Source organism: Homo sapiens, chromosome 3 (genome assembly GCF_000001405.40).
Source record: "Homo sapiens chromosome 3, GRCh38.p14 Primary Assembly".
Classification (NCBI taxonomy): domain Eukaryota; kingdom Metazoa; phylum Chordata; class Mammalia; order Primates; family Hominidae; genus Homo; species Homo sapiens.
In genome coordinates, this window is record NC_000003.12 from 144989996 (window position 1) to 145005190 (window position 15195).

Here is a 15195-nt window from a genome sequence, read left to right on the forward strand (position 1 = left end):
ATAGAACCCAGAAAAGCATTTTACTTACACTTAGCAGTCATTATATAGGATGTAAATGAACAGCCAGATGAAGAGGTACATAGGGTGAAGTCTGGATAGCAAGTAATCTAAAGTCTCTGTTCCTCAATTTCCTCATCTTACAATGGTGATAGTACAGAACTTGCTTCATAGAGCTATTATGAAGATCACATAATTTAATAAATGCACAATGCTTGCAAGGAAAACAGCTAATTATGGATTAGCCATTTTTATTGGTGGTGCTATTAGGCAATACAATGAGGAAATTCAGAGCTCAAGGTTGCAGTCCAAGAAGTTTCAATTACAGTTCCATCACCTACTCATTTCGTGATCTGCCATATATTTACTTGTAACTGAGCCTCAGTTTTCTGATATATAAAAAAGAATTTTAACAACCTACAACTCATCGAGTTTTATGATAATCTAATAAATTCATCTATAAAAAAGTACTCAGTAATTACAACTATATAATTATTATAGTCATCCAAGATCATAGGTGTAAAATGGGGTTATTTTAATTCACCTTTCTGTGATTACTGGTAAAGTCGAGAATCTTTGCATAAAAATATTGACAGGTTTACTCAGAAGACAAGGAAAATAAACACACCTGAGGATCCCATATTACCTCCATAAGAGAAAATCTACACAATACTTATAAAAATAGATCACAATGAAGCATATAATTTACAGATTACATGAGCAAATACAATGGGGGTTTGTTTCTCTACCTTGTTCTACAAACTTTAATATAATGTCCTACGAACTTCAAGGGCTGGTCTAAGGACGTTTTAGCAGTTCTCCCAGAAATACCTTATTTGACAACATTGCATTCAGAAATAAACATGGATCAGGCTGAACAAGCTGAAGAGACTGCAGGTTATGTTTGAAGGCAGTGTTCACATCTGAATAACCTGATGTGATGTGTTCATATTGTGTACTTTAGAGATATTTGTGACCCAGTGAGGTGCCTTTGTCATATATCAAGATGAGGCTATTTGGAGGATCAGTAGAATCAGTAAACTTTATTTGTGTTACTCAAGGGACTCTGTGAAGGTTTTGACCTCAATCCATTTCCACCACTGACATAAGTCAATAGAGGGTTCTCTATCTATTCATGGCCTTTGCACATGTTTCTGTGGGATTACTTCTCTCTATATTTCTATATTTTGAACAAGAATTCTTTGTTACATGCATATTCTTCCAGCCCAAGGCTTGTCTTTACTTTGTTTGTCCTTTACCTTAAAAAATGTTTTGACTTCAATGCAGTAAAATTAACCAGTGCTTTTGCTGATTGATGTCTTGTAATTTTAGCATTTTGCTTTACTTTTCCTTTAGTACACCGATGATATAAAGATTTTCCTTCCATTATTCTAAATAAATTGAAGCTTCATTTTCATAGTATATATTGGATATATATATATACTGAATATATGGAGTCATATTATATATTCAGTTCATATATTGTTATCAATATATCAGGTTTTTAAAATTAAACGGCAGTGCTTGGGATGTGTAAGTCCTACGTAAGTATTCCCTGTTGTACCAGATGCTGTCAGGGTTCTGTCTGTGTGCCCCCAGCCTTTCTGTGTGCACTCGTCAAATTCCCAAAGCCTCTATATGCATTTTTTGTCTATGAAAAATTTTACCGGATTTGTTGGGAGGCCAGTGTATCGTACATGGCAGGCCAGAAGTACCAGGGAAATCTTACCAGGTGAGATATCAATACCCCCAGGAAAAGTTTTCCACAATATTACTCCAGAGAGAAGGTTTCTGACCCTTCAAACCTGTATTTTCACAGTCAACATTTATTAGAATTTCTGGTTTCTCTGTCCCAGTAGTGACCTTTTGGCCTGGGCCTATTGTGTAGATTCTCAGCTTCTTGTCTAGCAGCCAGTATAGTTAAATGTTCTGAGTTCACTAGAAGAAGTAGAATATCTCATCACCGTTCTACTGTTTCCCATCTCTACAATTTTCCCTCTCAACTCTTGCTTGATTCAGCAGCTGTCCCATGCCTTCAACCATATGATTTTAAATTTTATGTAGATTTTCTAGCTATCTGCAACAATTACATTACTCTACCGTAATATACATTACCATAGCCGGAAGCAGAGGTCTCAGATTCTTTTTTAAGTTCTGGGGTACATGTGCAGGATGTGCAGGTTTGTTACATAAGTAAACGTGTGCCACGGTGGTTTGCTGCACCTATCAACCGATCACCTAAGTATCCAACCTAGCAAGCCTTAGCTATGTTTTCTAATGCTCTTTCTTCCTCCCACCCCACCTCCTGATAGGCCCCAGTTTGTGTTGTTCCCCTCGCTGCGTCCATGTGTTCTCATTGTTCAGCTCCCACTTGTAAGTAAGAACATGCAGTGTTAGGTTTTCTGTTCCTATCTTAGTTGGCTGGGGATAATGGCTTCCAGCTCCATCCATGTCCCTGCAAAGGACATGCTCTCCTTCTCTTTTATGCCTGCATAGTATTCCATGGTGTATATGTACCACATTTTCTTTATCCAGTCTATCATTGATGGGCATTTGAGTTGATTCCATGCCTTTGCTATTGTGAATAGTGCTGCAGTGAACATATATGTGCATATATCTTTGTAATACAATGACTTATATTTCTTTGGGTATATACTCAATAATGGGATTGCTGGGTCAAATGGTATTTCTAGTTCTAAATCTTTGAGAAACCACAACAACCATCTTCCACAATCGTTGAACTAATTTACATTCCCACCAATGGTGTAAAAGTGTTTCTGTGTCTCCGCAACCTCACCAGCATCTGTTGGTTTTGACTTTTTAGTAATTGCCATTCTGACTGGAGTGAGATGGTATTGCATTGTGATTTTCATTTGCATTTCTCTAATGATCAGTGATGGTGAGAGTTTATTCATACGTTTGTTGGCCACATAAATGCCTTCTTTTTATAAATGTCTGGTCATGTCCTTTGCCCACTTTTTGATGGGGTTGTCTGTATTTTTTCCTGTAAATGTTTAAGTTCCTCGTAGATTCTCGATTTTAGACCTTTGTCAGATGGATAGATTGCAAAAATTTTATCCGACTCTGTAGGTCGCCTTTTTACTCTGATGATAGTGTTTTTGCTGTGCAGAAGTTCCTTAGTTTAATTAGATCCCATTTGTCAATTTTTGCTTTTGTTACAATTGCTTTTGGCAATTTTGTCATGAAGTCTTTGCCTGTGCCTATGTCCTGGATGGTATTGCCAGATTTTCTTCTAGGGTGTTTATTGTTCTGGGTTTTACACTTAAGTCTCTAATCCATCCTGAGTTAATTTTGCTTAAAGTGTGAGGAAGGTGTCCAGTTTCAATTTTCTGCCTAGGGCTAGCCAGTTCTCCCAGTACCGCTTATTAAATAGAGAACCCTTTCCCCATTACTTGTTTTTCTCAGGTTTGTTAAAGACCAGATGGTTATCTATGTGTGGTTTTATTTATGAGTTTTCTATTCTGTTCCATTGGTGTATATGTTTATTTTTCTCCCAGTAACATGCTCTTTTGGTTATTGTAGCCTTGTACTATAAAGTCCAGTGCTGTGATGCCCCCAGCTTTGTTCTTTTTGCTTAGAATTATCTTGGCTATATGACCTCTTTTTTGATTCCATAAGAATGTTATTTTATTTATTTTATTTTATTTTTTAATTATACTTTAAGTTCGAGGGTACTTGTGCACAACGTGCAGGTTTGTTACATATGTATACATGTGCCATGTTGGTGTGCTGCACCCATTAACTCATCATTTACATTAGGTATATCTCCTAATGCTTTCCCTCCCCCCTTCCCCAACCCCACAACAGGCCCCGGTGTGTGATGTTCCCCTTCCTGTGTCCAGGTGTTCTCATTGTTCAATTCCCACCTATGAGTGAGAACATGCAGTGTTTGGTTTCTTGTCCTTGCAGTAGTTTGCTGAGAATGATGGTTTCTAGCTTCATGTATGTCCCTGCAAAGGACATGAACTCATCATTTTTTATGGCTGCATAGTATTCCATGGTGTATATGTGCCACATTTTCTTAATCCAGTCTATCACTGATGGACATTTGGGTTGGTTCCAAGTCTTTGCTATTGTGAATAGTGCTGCAATAAACATATGTGTGCATGTGTCTTTATAGCATCATGATTTATAATCCTTTGGGTATATACCCAGTAATGGGATAGCTGGGTCAAGTGGTATTTCTAGTTCTAGATCCTTGAGGAATCACCACACTGTCTTCCACAATGGTTGAACTAGTTTACAGTCCCACCTACAGTGTAAAAGTGTTCCTATTTCGCCACATCCTCTCCAACACCTGTTGTTTCCTGACCTTTTAATGATCGCCATTCTAACTGGTGTGAGATGGTATCTCTTTGTGGCTTTGATTTGTATTTCTCTGATGGCCAGTGATGATGAGCATTTTTTCATGTGTCTGTTGGCTGCATAAATGTCTTCTTTTGAGAAGTGTCTGTTCATATCCTTTGCCCACTTGTTGATGGGGTTGTTTGTTGTTTTTCTTGTAAATTTGTTGGAGTTCTTTGTAGATTCTGGATATTAGCCCTTTGTCAGATGAGTAGATTGCAAAAATTTTCTCCCATTCTGTAGGTTGCCTGTTCATTCTGATGGTAGTTTCTTTTGCTGTGCAGAAGCTCCTTAGTTTAATTAGATCCCATTTGTCAATTTTGGCTTTTGTTGCCATTGCTTTTGGTGTTTTAGACATGAAGTCCTTGCCCATGCCTATGTCCTGAATGGTATTGCCTAGGTTTTCTTCTAGGGTTTTTATGGTTTTAGGTCTAACATGTAAGTCTTTAATCCATCTTGAATTAATTTTTGTATAAGGTGTAAGGAAGGGATCCAGTTTCAGCTTTCTACATATGGCTAGCCAGTTTTCCCAGCACCATTCAGCCATCTTGGAACAACCCCCCCCCACCCCCGCCGATTTCATATGAATTTTAAAATAGTTTCTTCTAATTCTGTCAAGAATGTCAATGGTAGTTTAATGGGAATAGCATTGAATCTATAAATTACTTTGGGAAGTATTGCCATTCTCACAATATTGATTTTTCCTATTCATGAGCATGGAATGGTTTTTCATTTGCTTGTTTCCTCTGCAATTTCCTTGAGCAGTGGTTTGTGGTTCTCCACGAAGAGGTCCTTCACTTCCCTTGTTAGCTATATTCCTAGGTATTTTATTCTCTTTGTAGCAGTTGTGAATGGCAGATCATTCATGATTTGGCTCTCTGTTTGCCTGTTGTTGGTTTATAGGAATGCTTGTAAATTTTGCATATTGATTTTGTATACTGAGACTTTGCTGAAGTTGCTTATCAGCTTAAGAAACTTTTGGAACTGAGACGATGAGATTTTCTAGATATAGGATCATGTCATCTGCAAACAAAGATGACTTGACTTCCTCTCTTCCTATTTGAATACCTTTATTTCTTTCTCTTGCCTGATTGCCCTAGCCAGAACTTGCAATACTATGTTGGATAAGAGTGGTGAGATAGGGCATTCTTGTCTTGTACTGGTTTTCAAGGGGAATGCTTCCAGCTATTGCCCATTCAGTATAATATTGGCTGTGGGTATGTTGAATTTTATCAAAGGCCTTTTCTGTTTCTATCAATACAATCATGTGGTTGCTGTCTTTAGATCTCTTTATGTGATGAATTACATTTATTGATTTATGTATGCTAAACCAGCCTTGCATCCTGGGGAGGAAGCCAACTTCATCGTGGTGAATAAGCTTTTTGATGTGCTGCTGTATTTGGTTTGCCAGTATTTTTTTTGAGAATTTTGCATCAATATTCACCAGGGATATTGGCCTGAAGTTTCCTTTTTCTTGTATCTCTGCCAGGTTTCGATATCAGGATGATCATGGCCTCATAGAATGAGTTAGGGAGGAGTCTCGCCTTTTCAGTTGTTTGGGGTAGTTTCAGAAGAAAGGGTATCAGCTCCTCTTTGTATTGCTGGTAGAATTCAGCTGTAAATCAATCTGGTCCTGGGCTTTTTTTGGTTGATAGGCTATTTATTACTGCCTGAATTTCAGAGCCTTTTATTGTCTATTCAGCAATTCAACTTCTTCCTGGTTCAGTCTTGGGAGGGTGTATATGTCTAGGAATTTATCCATTTCTTCTAGACTTTCTAGTTTATTTGCATAGAGGTGTTTATAGTATTCTCTTATGGTTCTTTGTACTTCTGTGGGGTAAGTGGTGATATCCCCCTTAACATTTTTGTTGTCTATTTGATTCTTCTCTCTTTAATTCTTTATTAGCCTAGCTAGTGGTCTATTTTATTAAACTTTTTTTTTTTTTTTTTTTTTTAAACAGCTCCTGGCTTCATTGATTTTTTGAAGGATTTTTTGTGTCTCTATCTCCTTCAGTTTTGCTCTGATTTTGGCTATTTCTTGTCTTCCGCTAGGTTTGGGGTTTGTTTGCCCTTGGTTCTCTAGTTCTTTTAGTTGTGATGTTAGGGTGTTGATTTGAGATCTTTCTAGCTTTCTAATGTGGGCATTTAGTGGTATAAATTTCCCTCTTAACACTGCTTTAGCTTTATCTCAGAGATTCTGGTATGTTGTCTCTTTGTGTGGTTTTGAGTGAGTTTCTTAATCTTGAGTTCTGATTTGATTGCACTGTGATATGAGAGACTTTTGTGATTTCAGTTCTTTTGCATTTGCTAAGGAGTGATTTACTTCCAATTATGTGATCAATTTTCAAGTAGGTACCATGTGGCACTAAGAAGAATGTATATTCTGTTGTTTTGGGGCAGAGAGTTCTTTAGGTATCTATCAGGTCCACTTTACCCAGAGCTGAGTTCAAGTCCTGAATATCTTTGTTAATTTTCTGTCTCGATGATCTGTCTAATATTGACAGTGGAATGTTAAAGTCTGTCATTATTATTGTGTGGGAGTCTAAGTCTCTTTGTAGGTCTCTAAGAACTTGTTTTACAAATATGGGTGCATATATGTTTAGGATAGTTAGCTCTTTTGATGAATTGACCCCTTTACCATTATGTAATGTGTGTCTTTGTCTTTTTTGATCTTTGTGTGTTAAAGTCTGTTTTGTCAGAAACTAGGATTGCAACCCATGCTTTTTTCTGTTTTTCATTTGCTTGATATTCAAAATAAAATTTTCCTCCATCCCTTTGAGTCTATGTGTGTTCCTGCATGTGAGACAGATCTTTGAATACAACACACCAATGGATCTTGACTCTTTATCCAGCTTGCTATTCTGTGTCTTTTAATTGGGCCACTTACCCCATTTACATTTAAGGTCAATATTGTTATGTATGAATTTGATTCTGTCATCATGATGATAGCTGGCTATTTTGCAGTATTTTTAGTTTAGTTTCTTCATAGTGTCACTGGTCTGTGTGCTTCAGTGTGTTTCGTAGTGGCTGGTAACAGTTTTTCCTTTCCATTTAGTCCTTCCTTCAGGAGCTCTTGCAAGGCACATCTGGTAGTGATGAATTCTCTCAGCATTTCCTTGTCTGAATTAGATTTTGTTTCTCCTTCACTTATGAAGCTTAGTTTGACCAGATATGAAATTCTAGGTTGGAAATTATTTTCTTTAAGAATGTTGAATGTTGACCACCAATCTTTTCTGTCTTGGAAGGTTTCCACTGAGACGTCTGCTGTTAGTCTGATGACCTTCCCTTTATAGATGTCCTGGCCTTTCTCTCTGGCTGCCCTTAACATTTTTTATTCATTTTGACCTTGGAGAATCTGATGATGAATTGTCTTGAGGTTGATCTTCTCATGCAGTATCTTACTGGGGTTCTCTGGATTTCCTGAATTTGAATGTCAAGCTGTCTTGCTAAGTTCTCCAGGATAATATCAAAGTGGAAGAAAGAATTTCAGAACATGGAGACTATCTTGATGAAATGAGGCAGTCAGATAAGATTAGAGAAAAAAGAATAAACTTAGGAAGACAGTTCCACATTCAAATTCAGGAAATCTAGAGAACCCCAGTAAGATACTCCATGAGAAAATCAACCTCAAGACAAATTATCATCAGATATCTTGAAGTGTGTTTTCCAACTTGATTCCATTCTCTCCATCTCTTTCTTGCACTCTTATTAGTTGTAGGCTCAGTCTTTTAACATAATCCCACAGTTTTCAGAGGTTTTGCTCATTTTTATTCTTTTTTCTCTAATCTTATATGACTGCCTCATTTCATCAAGATAGCCTCCATGTTCTAATATTCTTTCTTCCACTTGGTCTGTTCCACTATTGAAACTTGTTCTTGCATTGTAAAGTTCTTGTGTTGTGTTTTTCAGCTCCATCAGGTCATTTATGTTCCTCTTTAAAGTGGTTGTTTTGGTTAACAGCTCCTGTAATGTTTTATCATGTTTCTTAGCTTATTTTCAATGAGTTAGAACATACCCCTTTAGCTCAGCTAAGGTCGTTATTACCTATCTTTTGAAACCCAATTCAGTCAATTCCTTCATCTCCGCCTCAGCCCCGTTCTGTGCCCTTGTTGGAGACATGTTGCGATCATTTGGAAGAGAAGAGGCACTCTGGCTTTTTGAGTTTTCAGCATTTTTGTATTGATTCCTTCTCATCCTCATGGGTTTATCATCCTTTGATCTTTGAGGCTGCTGACCTTTGGATGGAGCTTTGGTGGAAACTTTTTCATTGATGTTGTCACTGCTTTCTCTTTGTTTTTCTTTTAGCAGGTAGGCCTCTCTTCTGAATGGCTGCTGCAGTTTGCTGGGGTTCCACTACAGACCCTATTCACCTGGGTCTCTCCTGCCCCTGGAAATATCACCAGTGGAGGCTGTAGACCAGCAAAGATGGCAGCCTGCTCTTTCCTCTGGGAGCTTTGTCCCAGAGGGGCACTGGCCTGATGCCCCCCGGAACGTTCCTGTATGAGGTGTCTGGAGAATTTTAAAATACATTTTTAAACCAATGAATGTAGTGTTTGTCATGCATATAGATAAATTATGTATATATGTATAATATACATGTATACATATGTGTGTATACATATACACATAAAGAAAGAGAGAGAGGAATGAGAGATAGAATCTATTTTATCTGTATTTGTCAATTAAAAAATAAAATAGAGAGAATAAAAGGATACAACTTTAATATGGTCATTCAATTACACTCCAAATACTCTGTGAAATTGAGTCAGCAGCAGAACTAAATAAACTAGAATAAACTAGGATTGTACATATGCTGAAACCCACTTAATAATGCCATAATCTACAGGAATTGGTCACAACTGTATAATCACTATTAATTTTGATAGTGCTTCATATCTCCAAACATATTTGGAAAGTTACAGTAAAATCTGGACCTGAGTTTCCTGTGCAAATGCCATTCTTCAGGTGTATTCATGTAAAAAATTTCTGAGAACCGTCTGTTGTTGTTATTGTTGTTTGTTTATTTGTTTTCATTCTTGGATTTACCTGACTCTATTCTTGGCCCACTTGTGCATTTTCATACCTGCTAGTCACCATGGTACATATTATGCACTCTCATGCTTGTAATCACTTTCAATGTGTTACTGATTTACTGATTTTCAAACTGACAGTTATTTCCATTAGAATGTGCTCCAATTATGTCAAATTCATTGTTAGTCCAGTCTTCCATCACTATGAATAAATACCCAAGGTTGGGTGATTTATAAAGAAAAGAGTTTTAATTGGGTCGTGGGTCTGCACATTGTGTGAGCATGGCCATGGCAGTAAGCTTACAATCATGGCAGAAGGCAAAGGGAGAGCAGGTTATGTCGCATAGTGAGAAAGGAAGCAAGGGAGTGGGAGACCTGCCGAACTCTTTTAAACAATGATATCTCCTGTGAACTCAGAGCAAGAACTCCCCAAGGACAGTACCAAGCCATTCATGAGGAATCCACACCCCATGAACAAACCATCTCCCACCAGGCCCCACCTTTAACATTGGGGATTACATTTCTACATGAGACTTACTGGGGGAGAAGCATCCAAATAAAATCATTCTGCCTCTAGCCACCCCCCACCCCCTAAAACTCATGTCATTCTCATATTGCAAAATACAATAATCTCATCTCCATTGTCCCCTAAATTTTCAAATTTGTTTCAGCATCCAATTACAAATCCAAAGTCCAAAGTCTCATCTGAGACTCAAGGCCAAGTTCCTTCCACCAATGAACCTGTAAAATCAAAACAAAGTAATTTACTTTAAAGATTCAATGGTGGTACAGGAATTGGGTAAACATTCTCATTCCAAAAGAGATAACCAGCCAAAGGAAATTGATAACATACCCCATGCAAGCTGGAAAACCAGTAGGGCAGACATTAAACCTTAAAGCTCCAAAATAATCTCCTTTGACTCCATGTCCCACATCCTAGGCACACTGCTGCAAGGTGCAGACTCCTAAGGCCTTGGGCAGGTCTACCCCTGTGGCTTTGCATGCTGCAGCCCTAATGGCTGTTCTCATGGGTTGGATTTGAGTGCTGTGGCTTTCTCAGGTTGAGAGTACAACCTGCTGGTGGCTTTACAATTCTGGGGGCTGAGTGGTGGCAGCTGTCATCCCACAGCTTCACTAGGCAGCTCCCTGAAGGGGACTCTGAGTGGCGGCTCCAACCCCACTTTTCCCCTCTTCATTGAACCTGTAGAGGTTCTCTGTGTGGGTTTCACCCCTATGACAGGCTTCTGCCTGGGCACTGAGGCTTTTTCTTACTTCTGAAATCTAAAGGGCATTGTTTCATAAGGAAATTATTATGAGGCTACGGCGCTAAAAAAATAGTTAAATATTATTTTCCAAAAGAATACTACTCAGTTCTAGACTAAAATATGCATGGGAAAGATGCAGGTCTATGATAAACAAACCAAAACAATAGTAAAATAAAAAACTAGGCATTGAAGTGATTTCCTGATTCAATAGTCCCCCATTACCCATGATTTTACTTTCCATGGTTTCAGTTACCTGCAGTCAGCTGTGGCCCCAAAATGTTAAGGGAAGCTGCAAAGCTTTTTTCATGCTTGAATTTTGTGCACCTGCAGACTTAACACCATGTGGAGGCCACCAAGGCTTGAGGCTTATGCCCTCTGGAGTGGCAGCCCACACTATACCTGGGACCCTTTTAGCTGTGGCTGTTTCAGGGGTAGCCTAGATTCAGGGAGCAGGTTCCTGAGGCTGAACAGAGTAATGGGGCTCCATGCTTGGCACCTGAAGCCATTATTTTCTCCTAGGCCTCTGAGACTATTGTGGGAGGAGCTGTCTAGAAGATCTCTGAAATACCTTCAAGACCTTTTTCACACTTTTTTGGATATGAACACTTGGCTCCTTTTTATTCACACAAATCTCATTAGCAAATGTTTGCAAAACAACCCACTTGTATTTCTCACCTGAAAATGCTTTTACTTTCTCTGCCACATGGCTAGGGTGCAAATTTCCCAAACTTTGATTCTATGCTTTCCTTTTACATATGAGTTCCAATTTTACATCATTTATTTGCTCCCATATCTGATCTAAGGCTGTTAGAAGCAGTCAGGATACATCCTGAATGCTTTGCTGCTAGAAATTTCTTCTGCCAGGCACCATGTTATAATTCATAGGTTCAAACTTCTTTAGATGTCTAGGACATGAACAAAGTGCAGCCAGGTTATTTGCTAGTGTAACACAGGTGACCTGTATTGTAGTTCCCAATAACATCTTCATTTCCATCTGAAACCTCATCAGCCTGAACTTCAATGTTCATATCTCTATCAGCATTTTGGTCACAACATTTTAACTAGTCTCTAAGAAGTTCCAAATTTTTCGTCATCTTCTTATGTTTTTCTGAGCACTACAAACTATCCCAACCTCTGTCCATTACCCTATTCCAAAGCTGCTTCTACATCTTAAGGGTCTTTATGGCAACACCCCACTCTTGGTACCAGTTTTCTGTGTTAGTTCATTTTTGCATCATTATTAATAAATATCTGAGGCTGGGTATTTTATATGTTAAAAAAAGGTTTAATTTGCAGGCTGTACAAACATGGAACCAATACCTGCTGGGCCTCTGGTGAAGGCCTCAGGAAGCTTAGAACCATAGTGAAATGGGAAGCCAGAGAAGACACATCACATGGTAAGAACAGGAGCAAAAGAGAGATGGGAGGAAGGCGCAAAACTCTTTTAAACAACCAGATCTTGTGTGAATTCAGCAAGAACTCCTCATTATCACAAGGACAGCACAAAACCATTCATTAGCAATGAATCCCCATGACTCAAACACCTCCCATTAGGCCCCACCTCCAACATTGGAGATTACATTTTAACATGAGATTTGGAGGTAACAAATTTGCAAACTATATCACTCATCAAGATCAGGTTGAACAATTCATCTCTGCACTAAATCTTCTCTCCCTTTACAGAGGTTTCTCATCTTTATCAGTCACTCAAAGTCACTATTAACATAGACTGTGTTTGATTTCATACATGTAAAAGTCATATCAAAATACTTTATATTTTTTATGTAACCAAATCTTTATAAAAAACATACTTGCTGGACTCTATTTTAGGGATGTACTCAGTGTACTAGTCCCTTCTCACACTGCTAAAAAGAACTACCTGAGACTGGGTAATTTATGCAGAAAAGAGGTTTAATTGACCCACAACCCACAGGCTTTACAGGAATCATGCCTGGGAGGCCTCAGGAAACTGACAATCATGACAGAAGGTGAAGCGGAAGCAAGCATGTCTTACCATGGTGGAACAGGAGAGAGAGAGAGCAAATGGGAAAGTGCCACACACTTTTAAATAAGCATATCTCATGAGAACTCACTCAGTATAACCAGAAAAGCAAGGGGGATGTCTGCCCCCATGATTCAGTCACCTCCCACCAGGCCCCTCCTCTGATACTTGGGGATTACAATTCGAGATGAAATTGCCTGGGCATACAGAGCTAAAACATATCATTTAGTTTAGCGTATAGCAACCCCAGATGCTGATCAATGTCATGGTTTAAACTAAACAGAGACAGATTACCTTTTTTGACCATATTATTGAATCTCCTGATGGATTTTCTTGTTACTGTTGGATATGACAAAGACTAACATGAAGAATATTCTGTTAGAAAGTTATTCTTCTTTCAGAGACTCTCTCGCTTATAGTCTCAGCAAACATTTGCACACAAGTACATATTCAATTATAATGTAAATATGCACTAGGGTGCAGTAGGAATATAGATATACTGCATTTATTATAATAACTGCTCTGTGTTTAGTGCTGTGTACAATATGATCTCCAAATCTTTTACAAGAAATAGTTCTCTTCAATCTTCTCTGGTGGGAAAATTTACATAGTGATGTAAAAGTGAAATAAATAGAGGAGCAATACAAAAATAAATGGAAAATATGTTTCATATAGTTATTTCCCATTATGTAGATTAAATTAAAATAATTGGGAAAACTCTTATTTTGTATATGATACAGTAAAATTACTGTCTTTCCTTGATTTTTAAAAACCTCTTGTCTATTGTGTTTTATCTCTATACATACATGTGTAAGAATTTGCCCACTCTTCTCTCACATTATTAACAGGGCCAGCATTTATCTTTAAAATATATACCTACTTTCTGTCTTAAATTTTGAATTCACTCAACATTCATTCAGAAAATACATAATAAATACCTACTATGTATTAAGTGCCATACTAAAGTTGGGCACATTAAAAAAAACAGTGTCCCTGCTCTGAAGGAGCTCACAATTTGAAGATATACATTAAGAAAACTCTATTAATTGGTGATACATGCCTTAAAAATAATATGTGGCCATTAGAGATTGTTCAAGAGACCTTTAACAGAGGATTTGATTTTTAATTCATTCTGAAAGATGAGTGCTGTGGCAGACAGAAGACACAGAATGTGCATAAGCACTATGCTATGAAAAATATATTTTTAGAGCATGTTGCAGTTTAAGAGAGAAGCCATTGGTGAAACTGCTGTAAGTACATAAACTAAAAATTTAACTGTTCACGTGATTGAAGTGTGATTTTTCATTTGTACATTTAAAGTTTTAGATTAATTGTAACATTAATTTTAAGAACAACATTGTTTCAAAATAAAGCATATTTGTATGTGGTAATACAAAGTAGAGAAAAGTAGCTCAGCCAATTATTAGAAAAATCACAAGTTTCAAAGCAAACTATTAGTAACAGTCTCTTGAAAATTGATTTTAAACTGTGATAATGCTTATAAAACCTATCTCAAAGGGGAACTGGAATCACACGGCCATTCTCTGACTATTCCCTCCCCATTACCCTTCCTGGCGTCTACTAACCACTATTCTACTTTCCATTTCTATGAAATCAACTTTTTAGCTTTCACATGTGAGTGAGAAAATACAGTATTAGTCTTTCTGCACTTGGCTTATTTCAGTTAACAAAATCTCCTCCAATTTTCATCCATGTCACACAAATGAGAGGATTTTTAAAATTATTATTTTGTAGCTGAATAGTACTTCATTTTGTAGAAATACCACATTTTCTTTATCCATTCATCTATTGATGAACACTTAGGTTGATTCCATATTTTGACGGTTGTGACTAATGATCCAATATAAGTGGGAATGCAGATCTCTCTTAGAAATGGTGATTTTCTTTCTTTTGGGCATCAGGCCCCATAGTGGGATTGCTGGATCTTATGGTAGTTCTATCTGTAGTTTCTTAAGGAACTTCCGTACTGTTTTCCATAATGGCTGTACTAATTTATATTCCCATTAACAGTGTATAACAGTTAATTTTTCTCCGCATCCTCATAAGCATTGGTTATCTTTTGTGGGCCATAACCTTTTGAAAATATCAGATTCTAGACTCACAAAGTTACTTTACTTGCTTGTATATTTACTTAAAAGTCATACAGGAATGGTAGAATAAACAATTTGAAATGTGGAGTATCGAAAAGGAAAATTATTTTGTATATGTGTTCATCAATGTAATTTCTTCAATGTTACCTCAAATAATGTTTCATTTGTTATGTGAGATGGCTCAGATTTAGCCACACTCACTGTACGAGAGGTAAAGAGTCACAAATGATTGAATATAACTCTAATTCTGACTCTGTATAATTAATAGCCATTCATCACATAAATTATATTCTTTGGAAACATTCATTTACGGTATGAGAATTGGAGCTTCCCTTCTGTTCACTTAATATTTAATGTTTTTATCCTCCCATCTCATTTTCAGTATTGACCTTCATTTGTCCATTTTATTTCAGAATAGCAAGGAT